The 19,695-nt window shown below is 40.3% G+C and overlaps 1 protein-coding gene across 3 annotated transcripts in view, besides 4 other annotated features; it reads right to left on the reverse strand.

Moving 5' to 3' along the window:
- Positions 1 to 19,695, reverse strand: part of TASP1 (taspase 1) — a 534,161-nt gene that overhangs the window by 250,989 nt on the left and 263,477 nt on the right. The gene's annotated exons all lie outside the window — the stretch shown is intronic.
- Positions 716 to 1,221: an enhancer, noted in NCBI's record as "NANOG-H3K27ac hESC enhancer chr20:13337123-13337628 (GRCh37/hg19 assembly coordinates)". NCBI's record gives its function as "activates a minimal SCP1, AML or CMV promoter by ChIP-STARR-seq in naive H9 embryonic stem cells {active_cell/tissue: H9 hESC(naive)}" and the evidence as "EXISTENCE:reporter gene assay evidence [ECO:0000049][PMID:30033119]".
- Positions 1,818 to 2,739: an enhancer, noted in NCBI's record as "OCT4-NANOG-H3K27ac hESC enhancer chr20:13338225-13339146 (GRCh37/hg19 assembly coordinates)". NCBI's record gives its function as "activates a minimal SCP1, AML or CMV promoter by ChIP-STARR-seq in naive and primed H9 embryonic stem cells {active_cell/tissue: H9 hESC(naive and primed)}" and the evidence as "EXISTENCE:reporter gene assay evidence [ECO:0000049][PMID:30033119]".
- Positions 5,662 to 6,497: an enhancer, noted in NCBI's record as "OCT4-NANOG-H3K27ac hESC enhancer chr20:13342069-13342904 (GRCh37/hg19 assembly coordinates)". NCBI's record gives its function as "activates a minimal SCP1, AML or CMV promoter by ChIP-STARR-seq in primed H9 embryonic stem cells {active_cell/tissue: H9 hESC(primed)}" and the evidence as "EXISTENCE:reporter gene assay evidence [ECO:0000049][PMID:30033119]".
- Positions 6,498 to 7,332: an enhancer, noted in NCBI's record as "OCT4-NANOG-H3K27ac hESC enhancer chr20:13342905-13343739 (GRCh37/hg19 assembly coordinates)". NCBI's record gives its function as "activates a minimal SCP1, AML or CMV promoter by ChIP-STARR-seq in naive and primed H9 embryonic stem cells {active_cell/tissue: H9 hESC(naive and primed)}" and the evidence as "EXISTENCE:reporter gene assay evidence [ECO:0000049][PMID:30033119]".

Raw genomic sequence — 19,695 nt, forward strand, 5'->3', positions numbered from 1 at the left:
AGCTAGGGATCTGATGGTGGGGGAATGACAACTTAATTTAACTGCACTTAACTGCCACTGTGTAATTCTTTCTGCTCTCCCAAGCCCCTAGTCCTGTATTATCTTGGTCAAGGAGATCCCCCAGTTCTAAAGAGTCCTATGGAGATTTCATAGGACTCCTCATATTGGCCAAAAAATAGCTATGTTGATACCATGTGCAAACTTTCTTGTAACTCAACCACTGTTGCTTCCTAAATGGTGACAGCTCATTACAGTCATCTGCTATTACACTAAAATGCTGTTGGGATTTCATCTCACTCTTTATTCCCACTGGATATTTGGCAGGAGAGCTAAGGTTTTGTCTAGTAAAGCACTCTTAACAAAAAAATAGAGAAAGGACAAGAAGAGAGAAGCATCACAATTCCATATCTTGATTTGAGGATGTGCCATTGAGATGTTAATGTCTTACATAATAAGAGGTTTTATGGCTTAAATTCAAGAGTTGGGAATGCAGCAGCTGTTATCCCAGTCAGGTCTACAGTTTTCCCAGATTTCACAATGAACAATAGGAGCAATTGTTGTAAAGCACAGTCTCTTCATTCAGCATGGCAATGTCAGGGAAGTAATATACCTTTCTATACTCAGTTTTAGGGAACTGGGTTTTGGAATTGAGGAGCTGCCTGCAGCCCAGCCTCATAACTTACCTATCAAAACTAAGCCTAGCTCAACATGACTTTACTGTTTATTCCAGAAAATTCTTGCCCAGTAAGTAACTTGAATGTTGGCCCCAAGAGCTTCCAGAAAATCTATTTTTTTCAAACAATGAGCTACCAATCAGCCTCCTTTCTCAGGCCAACAGATTGCTCCATGGAGCAGACCTTCTTGCTTATCAAAGCATGAGATGCTCTAGATAACACTTAACTTTTCTGGGTCCTTCAGGCCCAAGCTATTAAATCATGAACTTTGCCCAGATGAAATCCCCACATTGAAAGGCCTGCCTTAAACCACTCAAAACCAGATCTGAAACTCTATCCATATCTGCCCTTGACCTCTTCCTTCCACAATACCACCAAGAGTCTGTCAAGGTGGTGCTCTCCCTCATGGCAGTAAGTAATAAACCCAGCTTGAATTGATCAATGGGGTATTTCTGTGGTCTTTTTGTAGAGTTGGCAGTTGACAAACACATGCAGATTTCCACCCTTGTTTGTAGAGTCACAACTGTTAGCTTGGCAGTCTTGCTCTGTTAGCCCCTTTTCCAGTTCTTTCAATTATTTACTCTTTCATTCAAATGTTTATTGAATGCTACTGTGAGCCAAGGGATATAAGAAGCTTGGTTCCTCATTCCATGGAGTAGGGAAGGAAGACACAAATCAACAAATCATATAAATATAGATGATACTAAATTGTGCTAAATGCTATAAAGGAAGAGTATGGGATGGCAGAAAAACATTTAATAGGCTTACAAAGATCTGCAAAGGATTAGACCATTGGGGCTGAGATAGGAAGAATTAGTAATCTTCAGATAAGTCTCTGAAAAGGAAGAAGGAAGACCTGTTCCAACCCAAAGGAACAACCCCCCACCCACCCCAATTAGGCTACGAATTCATTATCATGCTCTTCAATTCCTTTATCTTCAGGATCAGATAACTATTTTGTTGCTTTTGGCTACTTGTTTTTCACAACAATGAAAAAGAAAGATAAATGTGCTTCAAATAACTGAAGAGAAAAGACAACAAATACATGTTTTCTCACTGTTAAATTCCCTTTTCTCTGAGATTCTTTAAACCCCTGATAAGAAGGGGACGTGATAAAAATGGAAGATCAATTACTCTGCAAAAAAGTCTGGAGATTGCTTATAGTCTTATATACACGTAAAATACCATATAGCCCAGAATTTTCATTCCTAGGTATTTACCCAAGAGAAATGAAAATATATACCCACGCAAAGACTTACACATGAATATCTACAGCCCTGCTAATCTTAATAGCCCCAATCTGAAAACAACCCAGTGCTCAACAGTAGAATGGATTAACATTCAATGCAATACTATACAGCAAAGAAAATTAATGATCTACTACTACATGCAACAACATGGATGCATCTCACAAACACAAGAAAAAAGTCAGACTAGAATGAATATGTCAGGCCTCTGAGCCCAAGCCAAGCCATCGCATCCCCTGTGACTTGCACGTATATGCCCAGATGGCCTGAAGTAACTGAAGAATCACAAAAGAAGTGAATAGGCCCTGCCGCACCTTAACTGATGAAATTCCCCCACAAAAGAAGTGTAAATGGCCGGTCCTTGCCTTAACTGATGACATTACCTTGTGAAAGTCCTTTGCCTGGCTCATCCTGGCTCAAAAAGCACCCCCACTGAGCACCTTGCGACCCTCACTCCTGCCCGCCAGAGAACAAACCCCCTTTGACTGTAATTTTCCTTTACCTACCCAAATCCTATAAAACGGCCCCACCCTTATCTCCCTTCGCTGACTTTCTTTTCGGACTCAGCCCGCCTGCACCCAGGTGAAATAAACAGCCATGTTGCTCACACAAAGCCTGTTTGGTGGTCTCTTCACACGGACGCGCATGAAATTTGGTGCCGTGACTTGGATGGGGGGACCTCCCTTGGGAGATCAATCCCCCGTCCTCCTGCTCTTTGCTCCGTGAGAAAGATCCACCTATGACCTCAGGTCCTCAGACCGACCAGCCCAAGGAACATCTCACCAATTTTAAATCAGGTAGGCGGCCTCTTCTTACTCTCTTCTCCAACCTCTCTCACTGTCCCTCAACCACTTTCTCCTTTCCACTCTTCAATCTCTCCCTTCTCTTAATTTCAATTCCTTTCATTTTCTGGGAGAGACAAAGGACACACGTTTTATCCGTGGACACAAAACTTCGGCGCCAGTCACGGACTGGGAAGGCAGCCTTCCCTTGGTGTTTAATCATGGCAGGGATGCCTGATTATTCATCCATGTTTCAAAGGTGTCAGACCACACAGGGACGCTTACTCACTGCAGGGACGCCTCTCTGATCATTCACCCACGTTTCAAGGGTGTCAGACCACGCAGGGACGCCTGCCTTGGTCCTTCACCCTTAGCGGCAAGTCCCGCTTTTCTGGGGAAGGGGCAAGTACCCCAACCCCTTCTCTCCTTGTCTCTACCCCTTCTCTGCTTTTCTGGGAGAGGGGCAAGTACCCCTCAACCCCTTCTCTCCTTGTCTCTACCCCTTCTCTGCTTTCCTGGGGCAGGGTCAAGTACCCCTCAACCCCTTCTCCTTCACCCTTAGCGGCAAGTCCCGCTTTCCTAGGGGGCAAGAACCCCCCAATCGCTTATTTCCACACCCCAACCTCTTATCTCTGCACCCCAATCGCTTATTTCCATGCCCCAACCTCTTATCTCTGCGCCCCAGCCACATCTCCGGCACACAAGAACTTCCAAACACCTGAACCGCAGTGGCCAGGCATTCCTCCAGAACCTCCTCCCACAGGAGCTTGCTACACGTGCCGGAAATCTGGCCACTGGGCCAAGGAATGCCCGCAGGCCAGGATTCCTCCTAAGCCGCATCCCATCTGTGTGGGACCCCACTGAAAATCGGACTGTTCAACTCACCTGGCAGCCACTCCCAGAGCCCCTGGAACTCTGGCCCAAGGCTCTCTGACTCCTTCCCAGATCTTCTCGGCTTAGCAGCTGAAGACTGACACTGCCCGATGGCCTCAGAAGCCCCCTAGACCATCACGGATGCCGAGCTTCGGGTAACTCTCACAGTGGAAGGTAAGCCCGTCCCCTTCTTAATCAATACGGAGGCTACACACTCCACATTACCTTCTTTTCAAGGACCTGTTTCCCTTGCCTCCATAACTGTTGTGGGTATTGACGGCCAGGCTTCTAAACCTCTTAAAACTCCCCAACTCTGGTGCCAACTTAGACAATACTCTTTTAAGCACTCCTTTTTAGTTATCCCCACCTGCCCAGTTCCCTTATTAGGCCGAGACACTTTAACTAAATTATCTGCTTCCCTGACTATTCCTGGACTACAGCTATATCTCATTGCCGCCCTTCTTCCCAATCCAAAGCCTCCTTTGCATCCTCCTCTTCTATCCCCCACCTTAACCCACAAGTATAAGATACCTCTACTCCCTCCTTGGCGGCCGATCATGCACCCCTTACCATCTCATTAAAACCTAATCACCCTTACCCCACTCAATGCCAATATCCCATCCTGCAGCACACTTGCCTGTTATCACTCGCCTGCTACAGCACGGCCTTTTAAAGCCTATAAACTCTCCTTACAATTCCCCCATTTTACCTGTGCTAAAACCAGACAAGCCTTACAACTTAGTTCAGGATCTGCGCCTTATCGACCAAATTGTTTTGCCTATCCACCCCGTGGTGCCAAACCCATATACTCTCCTATCCTCAATACCTGCCTCTACAACCCATTATTCTGTTCTAGATCTCAAACATGCTTTCTTTACTATTCCTTTGCACCCTTAATCCCAGCCTCTCTTCGCTTTCACTTGGACTGACCCTGACACCCATCAAGCTCAGCAAATTACCTAGGCTGTACTGCCGCAAAGCTTCACAGACAGCCCCCATTACTTCAATCAAGCCCAAATTTCTTCCTCATCTGTTACCTATCTCGGCATAATTCTCATAAAAATACATGTGCTCTCCCTGCCAATCGTGTCCAACTGATCTCTCAAACCCAAGCACCTTCTACAAAACAACAACTCCTTTCCTTCCTAGGCATGGTTAGCGCGGTCAGAATTCTTACACAAGAGCCAGGACCACACCCTGTAGCCTTTCTGTCCAAACAACTTGACCTTACTGTTTAAGCCTAGCCCTCATGTCTGCGTGCAGCAGCTGCCGCTGCTTTAATACTTTCAGAGGCCCTCAAAATCACAAACTGTGCTCAACTCACTCTCTAAAGTTCTCATAACTTCCAAAATCTATTTTCTTCCTCATACCTGACGCATATACTTTCTGCTTCCCAGCTCCTTCAGCTGTACTCACTCCTTGTTGAGTCTCCCACAACTACCACTGTTCCTGGCCCAGACTTCAATCCGGCCTCCCACATTATTCCTGATACCACACCTGACCCCCATGACTGTATCTCTCTGATCCACCTGACATTCACATTTCCCCAAATTTCCTTCTTTCCTGTTCCTCACCCAGATCACGCTTGATTTATTGATGGCGGTTCCACCAGGCCTAATCGCCACACACCAGCAAAGGCAGGTTATGCTATAGTACAAGCCACTAGCCCGCCTCTTAGAACCTCTCATTTCCTTTCCATCGTGGAAATCTATCCTCAAGGAAATAACTTCTCAGTGTTCCATCTGCTATTCTACTACTCCTCAGGGATTATTCAGGCCCCCTCCCTTCCCTACACATCAAGCTCGAGGATTTGCCCCACCCAGGACTGGCAAATTAGCTTTACTCAACATGCCCTGAGTCAGATAACTAAAATACCTCTTAGTCTAGGTAGACGCTTTTCACTGGATAGGTACAGGCCTTCCCTATAGGGTCTGAGAAGGCCACCGCAGTCATTTCTTCCGTTCTGTTAGACATAATTCCTCAGTTTAGCCCTCCCACCTCAATACAGTCTGATAACACATAAGCCTTTATTAGTCAAATCAGCCGAGCAGTTTTTCAGGCTCTTAGTTTTCAGTGAAACCTTTATATCCCTTACGGTCCTCCATCTTCAAGAAAAGTAGAATGGACTAAAGGTCTTTTAAAAACACACCTCACCAAGCTCAGCCACCAACTTCAAAAGGACTGGACAATACTTTTACCACTTTCCCTTCTCAGAATTCAGGCCTGTCCTCAGGGTACAGCCCATTTAAGCTCCTGTATAGACGCCTTTTTATTAGGCCCCAGTCTCATTCCAGACACCAGACCAACTTGGACTGTGCCCCCCAAAAAAACTTGTCATCCCTACTATCTTCTGTCTAGTCATACTCCTATTCACCTTTCTCAACTACCCATACATGCCCTGCTCTTGTTTACACTGCCAGTTTACACTGTTTTTCCAAGCCATCACAGCTGATATCTCCTGGTGCTATCCCCAAACTGCCACTCTTAACTCTTGAAGTAAATAAATAATCTTTGCTGGCAGGACTATGCTGAATCTCCTTAGGCATTCTCTAATCAGATATCCTGAGTCATCCCAGTTCTTAGACCTTTTACACCTGTTTTTCTCCTTCTGTTTTTCCATTTAGTTTCTCAATTCATCCAAAACCGTATCCAGGCCATCACCAATCATTCTATACCACAAATGTTTCTTCTAACATCCCCACAATATCACCCCTTGCCACAAGACCTCCCTTCAGCTTAATCTCTCCCACTCTAGGTTCCCACGCCGCCCCTAATCCCGCTTGAAGCAGCCCTGAGAAACATCGCCCATTCTCTCTCCGCACCACCCCCCAAAAATTTTCGCCGCCCCAACACTTCAACACTATTTTGTTTTATTTTTCTTATTAATATAAGAAGGCAGGAATGTCAGGCCTCTGAGCCCAAGCCAAGCCATCGCATCCCCTGTGACTTGCACGTATATGCCCAGATGGCCTGAAGTAACTGAAGAATCACAAAAGGAGTGAATATGCCCTGCCCCATCTTAACTGATGAAATTCCACAACAAAAGAAGTGCAAATGGCCGGTCCTTGCCTTAACTGATGACATTACCTTGTGAAAGTCCTTTTCCTGGCTCATCCTGGCTCAAAAAGCTCCCCCACTGAGCACCTTGAGACCCCCACTCCTGCCCACCTGAGAACAAATCCCCTTTGACTGTAATTTTCCTTTACCTACCCAAATCCTATAAAACAGCCCCACCCTTATCTCCCTTTGCTGACTCTCTTTTCGGACTCAGCCTGCCTGCACCCAGGTGAAATAAACAGCCATGTTGCTCACACAAAGCCTGTTTGGTGGTCTCTTCACATGGACGCGCATGAAAGAATACATACTGCATGATTCTGTTTATATGAAATTCTAGAAAAAGCAAAAACATCAGTGGTTGCCTAGAATTAGCAGTAAAGGGAGATTGACTGCAAAGGGTGTGAAATAGCAAGAAATATATATATATATATATATATATATATATTTGTCTCTCCCCCTGTTTCTTGCACAGAGCTCCTAAAACCTTTATAACTTCCTGAGAGATAGTGGTAGGGTGCTAAGAGAATCTTTTGTTCTAATATTTGGTCTCTGTCCTGGTTCCTGAGACAGGGACCCTAATACCCTTGTAGATTGGGGTGATCTAGGGGAATCTTTTGTTCTAATATTTGGTCTTTGACACCAGATCCTAACATACTGCTCTTTAGATTTTTGTGAACCTGAGTGATAGGAGTAGCTGGCACAGAGCTCCCAAATCTCTCAGAATTTCCTGGGTGATAGAAGCATCTTTTGTTCCAATGAGACAACTCTTGTTGGGCTCCTACATTGGGGGTGGTCACCAGAAAGACCAAATCTTGATTACAAGCTTGGAACTTTCAGCTCCACCCACACTCTTTGGAGAAGAAAGAGAGGCTGGAAATGGACTTAATAATCAATCATGCATACATGATGAAGTCACCATAAAATTCCCCAAACTATGGGGTTCAGAAAGCTTCCAGTGGGGTCAATTTATTCATATGCTAGGAGTGTGGTGCACCCTAACTCCACAGGGACAGAAGCTCCTGTGCTCTGAAATCTTTGCCCTGTATATAGCTGTTCATCTGCAGTTTTTGTTATACCCTTTATTAATGAACCCATAAACATAAGTAAATTGCTTTCCTGAGTTCTGTGACTCTAGCAAATTAATCAAAACAAAAGAAGGAGTCATGAAAACCCCCAATGTTTTCTGGCCAATTGGTCAGAAGTCTAAGTGACAACCTACTACTGTATTTGCAATTTTCAGTTAGCATCAGAAGTCAGGGTTGGGGAAGGGTTTGTGGAACTGAGCCTTCAACCTGTGGGATCTGATCTAGCTCTAGGTCATAGTGTGAGAATTGAGTTAAATTACAGGACACCTAGTTAATGTCCAATGCAGAATTGCTTGTTAGTGGCAGTGCAGGGAGGGGGAACCCACACATATCTGATGTCAGAAGTGTTGCATTGAGTAGTGTGTGTGAGTGGAAAGAAACAGTTTTGTTTTTTCCTCAGAAATGAGCATTAAGGAATTTTGGGGGTGATGGAAATGTCTCCAGCCCATCAGAATCCATCAGAAAACTACTTACGCAATTTATCAAGAATGCCAATTTCTTCCTATGAGGAGATTTGTATATAATAACTCACAAAAAAGGTTTAATCCCAGATAAGGTTTGGGATATTTTTTCTTCCAAATATGCATGCACTAAAAAAGAGGGATTTAAAAAAAAAACAAACATTTTAAATGTTATCTGTTGTGATTATTTGTCAGTGATGGGGTTGTAAAGGAATTTTATTTTCTTCCTTGTCTGCAGATTAACATTTTTCTGGTATATGGATGTCCTGCTTTTGGAGTTCTAATAATAAGAAATAAAAGTTTTTACCTTTATTTAAATAAAGAATTCCCATTTTGCATTATAAAATGTTTGATGATGAGAAATGAAGTAAGAAGTATGAATGTGCTGGTGTGGGAGCCTGTGGAAGAGAGGACCATGTCATCTCAACTGTCCTGAGCTGAGCAGTGAATTGCGGTCAGGAAGGGGAGGTAATTCCTTAGGGAAGGAAGGGTATGGAGAGTCAGAGATTAATGGCCCCATGGCCATGGCAGGAGTGGCAGAGGCTGATTAGGTCTTGTCAGTTCTCCCCACATCTTTTGTCCCCATAGTGACCAAAGATAGACAGATAGTCAAGGTCCACCTGATATATAGCAGCCTGCCCTGTGTGCCTGCCCGTAGGCCTAAGATAGCTGGACTGAAGCTAAGTCTACATATCTGACCCCCGAGATGGGTCAACTTGGTATCTCCCCAACTTGGTATCAACTTGGTCAATAGACACCTGTGTCCATTGAAAGAAAAGAGAACTTGAAGTGACCTGGGGTAGTTTGCTGTTCGTTAGATTGCTGTACCTACTGCATTTCCCAAGGCCAAGTTAGAATGCCCCTTTCTAAGTAAGTGTATTCCTCATGTCTTGGCCCCACAGCAGGTTTCTGTGCATGTGCACTAGAACTTTCTCCTGTTTGCCACTCTGGCTACAGCCACGAATATGCTCCATTGAACTATTTTTTTTTTTCTGAGCCAAGTTGAAATGGTTGCATGCCTAAATATTATGAGTCAGCAAATGAAAAGATGGATTTTGACTGATAATTTTCAGAACAAACAGATCAATTTAACTTGAATAAATATAATTGATGATGGAAAATTCAATTGGACCAAAGAATATCTTTGTCTCTTATTTTCATATAATGTTTGGCTATAAAGTCTTCCATTGGCTCTATCTGGCCAACAACCTACACGTGATTTCAAATTCAAGTTTCTTATTTTCTTAACTTTTCATATTCAACTTGGATCTTTTATACTTATCTATTTGTTCTTTATTCATTTGATAAATATTTGTTGATTGCCTATTCTGTGCCAGGAATTATCCTAGACATTAGGAATTGAGCAATGAATGAGACAGGTTTGGTCTCTAGATTCACGGAGCATATACTCTAATGTAAAAGATGGACAATGAGCACCAAAAAAAGATAATAATTTGAGAGAGTTGTGAGTGCCATAATAAAAAGTAAAACAGGATAACAAAATAGAGAGTAACTGGAATGTACACTGAGTATATTTCAGCTTGATGTGTCATCAAAGGCCTGTCTGAGGTGGTGATAGTTGAGCATAGGCCTGAATGATTGAAAGAAAAGGAGAGCATCAGGACAGTCACAGGGAGTGACAGGTGTGAAAACTCCAATGCAGGAACAAACTTGGTGTGTTGAGGGGGCCTAGGAAAGGCCGCAGTGGCGAGGGGAGAGCTGACAAAAAAGAGAGGGGAGAGGTGGGTTTGAAGAGGCACAGGGCCCCGGGCCATGGAAGATCTTGTAGGGTATGGTAAGAAGTTTTGGGTTTATTTCGACTGAATGGAAAACCACTGGAAACAAGTAGGGAAGAGATGTGATGATTTATGTGTCTTACGAAGTCTGGCTGTGGGGAGGAGAACGGCCTGGGGATAGGAAAGGAATGGAGGCAGGGAGTCTAGTTAGAAGGCAGAAGATGAGACAACACAAGATGATAGCTTGAACTGAAATGGCAGTGGAGGGGATACTGAGGAAGACAGAGATTCAGGATATGTTTGCAGAGATGAGGAAAAGACGGGATTCAAAGACAACATTTAGATTTTTTTACCTGAGCAACTGGGCAAGCGAGAACAACATCAGCTGAAATGATGAATTCTGGGGAGAGAACAGTTTGTGGACAGAAGGGAAATAGAAGACTTGGAATATGTTTTGGACATATTTGGAAATGCTTTATTAGGTGTCACAGTAGAGATGTCAAGTAGGTAATCTGGAGTTTGGATGCAGTTCAGGCTGGACATTTGGGAGGCGTGATATTTGATAAAGCTGTAAGATTTGATAAGATCATCTGTGAAGAAAAGAGGGCTGAGAACCAAGCCCTGAGACCACCAATGTTCAGAGGTCAGGAAGAGAACAGAAACCATCAAAGGATACTGAGAAGGAGAAACCAGGGAGGGATGAGGAAACCCAGAAGAATGAAGTGTCTAAGAACCCAAGTGAAGAAAGCCTATAATTCTAAACCTTCTACTGCTTCCTACTTATTTCTAATTTCTACCTTTTATCTATAAACAATCCTGTAAGCAGTGTTTGCACTATTTCAGCCCCAAAACACACCACACCCAGACCTACTGAAAAGATATTTATTGTGATTAAGTCTTTGGACCATAGCCCAACATCTTCCTAGCCGCCTATGTGGTTGATTTTTCTTTCTCCTGCCCAGGGAAAGGTCAGCCAAACACAAGTCCCTGCATAATGTGACACAGGTCTTCTTCATTTCACCCAGCATTGACTTCCCTGTACTAAGAAAATGAGCATTTAATAGATACACTCTCTCCGACAAAAGATGGGATCCAGAGAACATTCTTATAGTTGCATACCAAAAAGCATTTCCCCTTTCCTTGCAGAGTCTACGCTTCTCTTGGTACCAAGAGGGTTTTGCCTGATTTGACTACACACACACACACACACTCTCTCTCACACACACACTAACTCAGGTCAGGAATTAAAAACTTTGAGCAGCTCAGTAATTGGTTTTAGGAGTGGAAGTACCAAATGCTACCACCATTCAGCTCTTGCTAAGCCTTGGGCATTGTAGCTAATCATTTAGTAACATTGAAAGGCTCCTTTTATGGAGGCTTCCCCATCATCAATGAACTCATTTTATATAAATATTTAGCTAGGCAATAAACTGGACAGCCTATATTACTCAACATCAGCCTCAAAAGACCCTCCCGATTTTATATACACAGCATCCTGGTAGAGTAATAGATTTTACACGCATGACATGGTTAGCGGTAAATACACCAGGGTAGGTCAAACCCTGTTTGGTTCTCTGCTTTTAACTGTCTTGGGCTTTGTGTGTTTCTTTAATCAGTTGGATGATTTAGATAAACAAAATGTATTAGTCTTTGTAAGTATAACATGCCTTGAACTTTTTCCAGATATTCATTCCCATTCATCATCATAATAGTTGCTCCCCCTTGGCCATCATTAAGATTAGAAATGTCCTTGAACCATTTAATGATATTCCACAAGACTGGACAGACTTTTCATGCCTTGATGAATTGCGATCACTCAGCTTAGACCAATGAAATTGGATATCCTTTAATGTGCCTGATGACTTTAAGGAATTTAGGAAAAGCAGTGCTGCAGCATCAAAATGGCTTCACAGAATAACCATCCATTTGGGGAAAGATGCATGGCTTATGTAAAAATTGATGAATGAGTTAGATCTAATCTAATAGCTAACTGCAATGAGTATTATTTATTTGTTCATATTGCTAAATATGGTTTTATCTACAAGTGACTATTTATTAGAGCACTCATTAGAATCCTTAATGAAGGTATGAACTGATTTTTTTAAAGCCCAAGTTAGAATGCTGAAGGAAGATTCCTCCAAGTAAATTGACTTTTAGCTGTTCACACCACAGATGATGGGAAAAAAATGAAAAACTTAAAAACAAGGCTGGGCCAGGATATGTTCCAGCTACCCCGGAGCTATGAAAAACTGGTTGCTTCTATTTTATGGGGTCCTGCATCTCCAAATGGCCACTGATTGACCCCCAAAGTTCTGCAATACATAAGCAAGCAGACTTGACAATTTGTGCCATAAATATCTTTAATATTTTCACAAATATTTTGATTCCATAGGCTCTGAAACCATTGACATTCCCATGGTGTAGAGCTGCCTATTATATTGGCATATTTAAATCATCTTTAAGTTTCTTCCTAAACCATGGTTTGAGACCACAGGATTAAGAACAGAAACTCCCAGGTGTATAGTAGAGAGCACTGTGCTTGGAGTAAAAAGATCAGCCTTCAAGTCCTGGTGTTATCATAGGCAATTTAATTAAATTACTCACAGAAGCATCAGTTTCTTCCTTTATTCATCAATTATTTATTGAGCATCTATAATTTTCTGAGCAGTATTCTTGGGATAGATGAGAGAACAAAAAAGAATACAGGGATTACACTCCACTGTTGGCCTTGTTTAATATAACTTTCTTCCTTCCAGAATTGTTGTATAGGTCAAATGAGACATCAAAAATAAAACCACTTTATAGAGAGCTTTGGGGCAATTTATACACTAACTCCTGGCAGCCATGAGTTGAGGGCTGCTCCAGGGAATGTCACTTCTGTCCTGCCACAGGCAGAGCAGTCTTCTGCATTTTGGAGCGAACCCTGAGGTAGGCACAGATGCAGATAGTGGTGGTTGCAAATTAGCTGATCCACACTGGAAACAGTAGGGACCAGGGGATATGGAAGGGAACTGTCAGTGAATGATGCAGACATGAAAAGATAAACCCATTTTTGTCATTACTCTGCTGGTTAGGTGGTGCCTGCCTGTCCCCTTCCCCAACCCCTGTACCCTAATACACACCAGCCACCTGCAGGATGGCTTGCAATGCATTAGTAACTCTTCTCATGAATCAGCTGGACCTGAAATACTCTAGACTTGAGTTTCTCACACTGGAGTTTGTGGCTCCTGTGGGTCTATGGATGTAGCCTCCAAAACCATGAATTCAATGACAATACTACAATTTTTAAAATTTTCATTTTGATGACAAACTAAAATAAATTAATACAGATATATTCAGGGTGACCTTGTGACTAGTCATAGTAGGCAATTTCATTTTCTGCATTTGTATTTGAGGTTGAAGTAATGGTGATGCCAAATGAAGATTTCAGGTAGCTGGAAAAGAAAAAAATGGAAAAATTGAGAGATGACCAATAATGTATATTTAAGGGCTAGGTGCAATGGCTCAAGCCTGTAATCCCAGCACTTTGGGAGGCTGAGGCAGGTGGATCACTTGAGGTCAGGAGTTCGAGACCAGCCTGGCCAACATGGTGGAACCTCGTCTCTATCAAAAATACAAAAATTAGCTGGGCGTGGTGGCACATGCCTATAATTCCAGCTACTCAGGAGGCTGAGGCAGAAGAATCACTTGAACCCAGGAGGTGGAGGTTGCAGTGAGCCAAGATTGCATCATTGCACTCCAGCCCATACAACAGAGCAAGACCCTGTCTCAAAAATAAATAAATAATGTATGTTTAAATGTATGTTGAACATTTTAAAAGCCTAGGTGGGCTTATCTGTATGTTCATGTTCTGAGCAGAGATGGTGCATGGGTCACATCTACGTATATATCAAACTTGGTTGGCAATAAATGTAGTAGTCAACTCTCAGTAATTTTTCATGAAATGGCTGTGTCGCAATTTCCCAGGGTGTTTATTAAGTGGATTGGCTGAGAATAAATAATGGATAGGTAGTTTAAAACAAATGTATTGTCCAAAAGGAAGTGCAATGCAAATCATAATGTTGACAACTCAGATGATGGCTATCAAGTTTAAAATCAACAGGATCAAGTCAACTAATGAAATATTGTTTCCAAATAAATGCTTCTATAATAAAAGCAGTACTTCTGCTTCTGGAAAGATGAAATGCAGGTACTTTTCCCTATTCTCTCCATTAAGTGTAGCTAAAACACTGGGCATTATATATAAAACAAATATGAGTAGAGTTGGAAAGGTGGAGAAAAGAAGGTGGACTAACTAGCGACCCTGGGACCTGAGGAACAGTACGGTGGTGAGTTCTGTTTTTATTCTGCCTCATCTATCCCATCAAATACTACTCATACTGAGAACCAGGAGGATTGCAATATGAATGACAAAAGACAATCAACAGATGTCAACACAAAGATAAGAGAATTATTTGACAAGGATTTTAAAGCAGCCATTATAAAAATTCTTCAACAAGCAAGTTTGAACATGCTTGAAACAAATGGAATATATTAAATCTCAGCAAAGAAATATAAGATACAAAGAAAAAACACATGGAAATTATAGAGTTGAAAACACAATAACCCAAATTAAATTATATAATAATTTAAGGTAAACCAATAAAAACAAAACATAATGTAACGTAATTTATTATATCATTATTAACATGAACTTTATTGGTCTGGAATCTTATATTCACTTGGAAATCTACTTAGATGTATAATTGTACAACAGCTATATACATAAAAAGCTTATACCTTTCTATGTTTGTACATTTTGAAGTGGCATTATTTTAAAATAATTTATGTTAATACTAAGGAAACTGAAAATTTTTTCTTTTATAAAGGTTTCTCATTAAAACAAACATTTTAAAATGACATTTATAATGTATTATGAGCTAAATTATGTTCCCCCAAAATCCATGTTGATGTCCTAAGCCCCGGGGCCTCAGAATGTGACTTTATTTGAAGACACAGCCTTTACAAAAAAAGTAATTAAGGTAAAATGAGGTCATTAGAGTGGACCCTAATCCATTACGACTGATGTCCTTATAAGAAGAGGAGATTAGGACAGAATTCACCAGTGTAACCATCTAGTACTAGGCTTTCTTCCTGGGAGATTTTTTGATTACTACTTTAATATCAGTACTTGTTATAGGTCTATTTAGATTTTCTATTTCTTTTTAAGTCCGTTTTGGTAGTTGCTGTTTTCTGTAAGAATTTGTCAATTTCATCTAAGTTGTCTGATTAGTTGGTATACAGTTATCCATGCCATTTCCTTTATATTCTTTTCATTTCTGTAAGGTCAAGCAGTATCATCCCCTCTTCTATTTCTGATTTTAGGCATTTGAGTCTTCTCTCTTTTTTCTTGGCCGTTCTAGCTAACAGTTTGTCAGTATTATTGATCTTTTTGACAAACCAACTTTTGGATTCATTTTCTCTATTGTTTTTCAATTCGTTATTTCATTAATTCCCTCTCTAATCCTTATTATTTCCTCTTTCTACTTGCTTTGAGCTTCGTTTGCTCTTCTTTCTCCATTGTCTTAAGGTAGAATGTTTGGTTGTTGATATGGGATCTTTCTTCTTTTTTAGCGTAGGCATTTAAACTTCCCTGTGAGCACTGCTTTCACCGCATCCCCTAAGTTTTGGTATGTTGTGTCTTTGTTTTCATTCATCTCAAAATATTTTCTTATTTTCCTCTGCTTTTATCTTAGACCTGTTGGTTATTTAGTAGTGCGCTGTTAAATTTACACATGTTCGTGAATTTCCCAAATCTTTCTGTTACTTTTAATTTTATTCTCTTGTGATCAGAGGACGTATATTGTATGATTTCAATCCTTTTAAATTTATTAAGGCTTGTTGTATAGCCTGACATACAGTCTATTCTGGTGAATGTTCCTTGTGCACTTGAGAAGAATGTTTATTCTGTTATTGGGTACAGTGTTCTATTGATGTCTATTAGGTCTGCTTTGTGTATACTGTTGTTCAAGTCTTGTATTTCCTTGTTGATCTTATGCCTCATTATTCTATCCAATATTTAAAGTGGAATATTTAAGTATCTGAATATTAATGTTGAATTGTCTGTTTTTCCCCTCGATCATGTCAGTCATGTATTTTGGGATTCTGCTGTTAGGTGCATATATGTTTATAATATTTATAAATTCCTAATGAATTGATCCTCTCATCATTACATTGTATGCCCTTTTTATCTCTAGTAATATATTTTGTTTTAAAATCTATTTTGTCTGATATTTGTTTAGCCATTACAACTTCCATGTGATTACTGTTTGCATGATACATCTTCTTCCACCTTTTTACATTCAACTAACTTATATATTTGAATATAAAGTATAACTTCTGTAGAGAGCATATAATTGCATCTTGTTTTTCAGTCTCGTCTGATACCCTCTCAGCTTTTGACTGGATTACTTAATCCACTCACATCTGTGATGATTAATTTTATGTGTCAACTTGGAGGGTGTTTTAACATGAAATTAGTATTTAAATCAGTGAACACTGAGTAAAGCAGATTGCCCTATTCTGTGGGTGCCTCGTTCAATGAATTGACAGCTTGAATGAATAAAAAGACTGGCCTCCCTAAGCAAGAGGGAATTCTCCAGCAGATCACCTTCAGACATCATTGGCACTATCGGCTTTCCTGGGTCTCTGTCTGCTGATCTTCAGACTATAACCGTATCCTGGGCTCTCCTGAGTCTCAAGTCTGCTGGCTCACACTACAGATTTTTATTTGCTAGGTTTTATATTCATTTGAGCCAAATCCTTATTTTATATATATATGTAAAACTTATTTTATAAAACTATATCATGTTATATATGTATACACATATATGTAATTTTATATATATACATATATATGTATGTATGCATATGCTACTGCTTTTTTTCTGGAGAACACTAATACAACATCTAATGTTATTATTGATATAGTTAGATTTATATTGCCATTTAATTGTTTTCTATATGTCTCATGTGTCTATTGTGTTCCTCTATTCCTATTTTACTGCTTTATTTTGCATTGTCAGTATCTCTAGTGTAACATTTTAATTTATTTAATGGTTTTTTATAACTTATTTAGTTTGTTTTCTCTCAGTGGTTGCTCTAGGGCTTACCATATACATCAGAATTCATCAGAATTTACTTCAGATTTATACTAACTTAATTCCATCAAGAAACAGAAATGTTCCTCCTGTATAGCTCTATTACCCATTCTTCCTTTCTGTGTTATCATTGTCACACATATTACATCTATAGATGCCATAAACCTAACAATACATCATTATAATGAGTACTTAATGTAATTTTTGTCTATTAAAGAGAGATAACAAAGAAGAGTAGGTATTTATTTGTAGCATTTGTTCTATGTGCTTTCTTATTTATCATTTCTAGTTCTCTTTATTTGTTCCCATGTGTTCAAGTTATCATCTAGTATCATTTCCTCACTCCAGTACAACTCTGCCTCCACCCATCTCCTTTAAGTGGTTGTTGTCAAGTACATTGCATTTCCATCTATTATAGCCCCAACAATACAATGATACATGTAGTGTTTTATACACTTGATTTATAAAATTAATTAAGACAAGAAAGAAAAATATATATACTGTCTTTCATAATTGCAATTATCAGTGCTCTTTGTTTTTTCTCTATGGACTCAATTTCCATCTGGGTTTACTTGCTTTCAGCCTAAAAATTTCCTTTAGTATTTATGATAAGGCAGGTCTGATAGCAGCAAATTCTTTCAGTTTTTTTTTTTTTTCTGGATATGTCTTGATTTTTTTCTTCATTTTTGAAAGACAGTCTTTTAAGATATAAGATTCTTGGTTGATTGTTGTTGTTTATTTCAGCACTTTGAATGTGTTGCTCCATTGCCTTCTGACAGCCATGATTTCTTATAAAAAGTCAGTTGTTCATTTTATTGGGGTTCCCTTATAAATGACATTTTTCTCTTGCTGCTTTCAAAATTTTCTCCTTGTCTTTGAATTTCAGTATTTTTTCTATGATATGTTAAACAGAAAATAATGGATCTCTCTGTTTCCTACTTGAGTTTATTGAGCTTCCTGAGTGTGTTTTCCAGCAAATTTGGGGAGCTTTCAGCTGCTATTTCTTCAAATACTTTTTCTTCTCCTTTCTCTTTCTTTTCTTCTTCTAGTACTTCCATTATGCATATTTCAGTTTATTTACGGGTGTTCCACAGTTTCTCAAGGCTCTTTTTTCTTCATTTTATTTTCTCACTGTTCTCCAGATGGTATAATCCCTATCAGTCTATCAAATTTGCTTATTCTTTATTCTGCCAGTAAAAAATCTCCTGTTGAGCCCCTTTAATAAAGTTGTTTAGTTCAGTTGTACTTCTTGACACCAGAATTACCATTTGGTTCTATTTTTATGTCTATCTCTTTATTGATATTCTATATTTGATGAGATATTGTCTTCATACTGTACTTCTTTAAGCATTTTTAAAAATTCTTTGAGCATATTTATAATGGCTACTTTAAAGTCTTTATAAAATCTGACATTTGGTCCCTCTCTGAGGAAGTTTCTGTTGACTATTTTGTGTGTGTGAGCATCCGTGTGTGTGTGAGAGAGAAACAGAGAGAAATAACAAGTCACTGTTCCTGTTTCTTTTGCTGTCTCGTAATTTTTTTTTTTTTTTTGAGACAGAGTCTTGCTCTTTCGCCCAGGCTGGAGTGCAGTGGTGCCATCTCAGCTCACTGCAAGCTCTGCCTCCCGGGGTTCACACCATTCTCCTGCCTCAGCCTCCCGAGTAACTGGGACTACAGGCGCCCGCCACCGCGCCCGGCTAATTTTTTGTATTTTTAGTAGAGATGGGGTTTCACCGTGTTAGCCAGGATTGTCTCGATCTCCTGACCTTGTGATCTGCCCGCCTCAGCCTCCCAAAGTGCTGGGATTACAGACATGAGCCACCACACCTGGCCTCTTTCGTAATTTTTTTAAAAGTGGACATTTTAGGTAACATTTTGTAGCAACTCTGGTTATTAGTTCATCTCTTCCCTTTCTGGGTCTTGTTTTTGTTGCTGTTTCTTTGCTCATTTGTTTGGTGACTTAGCTAGTCCATTTTGATAAAACCATTTCTCTCACAGTGTAAAGCCTTGGCTGTCACTCCTCACAGGATGCAGCCTTGGGCATGCACCTGCTCACCCTGGAATTAAAATAATTTTAGCAGTTTTCTTTGATTGTCTCTTTCCCCTCATATCTTCATTAAAATGTCTGTCCTTTTCATATTATACCCAGCAATTAGGCTCCACTAATTACCACTAATTGTTCTATTGTTTTGGAAAATGCCCTCTGATATAAATTACTCAGCAGTATAATTGGGCTGGGGTAGTTTTTAAAGATAGGTGTGTTGTGTTTTGTTTTGTTTTGTTTTTTACTTTAAGTTCTGGGATACATGTGCAGAATGTGCAGGTTTGTTACATAGGTATATATGTGCCATGGTGGTTTGCTGCACCCATCAACCCATCATCTACATTAGGTATTTCTCCTAATGCTATCCCTCCCCGAGCCCCCCACCCCCCAACAGGCTCTGGTATGTGATGTTCCCCTCCCTGTGTTCATGCATTCTCATTGTTCAACTCCCACCTATACATGAGAAAATGCGGTGTTTGGTTTTCTGTTCCTGTGTTAGCTTGCTGAGAATGATGATTTCCAGCTTCATCCATATCCCTGCAAAGGATATAAACTCATTCTTTTTTATGGCTGCACAGTATTCCATGGTGTATATGT

The sequence above is a fragment of the Homo sapiens genome, chromosome 20 (assembly GCF_000001405.40).
Source record: "Homo sapiens chromosome 20, GRCh38.p14 Primary Assembly".
Classification (NCBI taxonomy): Eukaryota; Metazoa; Chordata; class Mammalia; order Primates; family Hominidae; genus Homo; species Homo sapiens.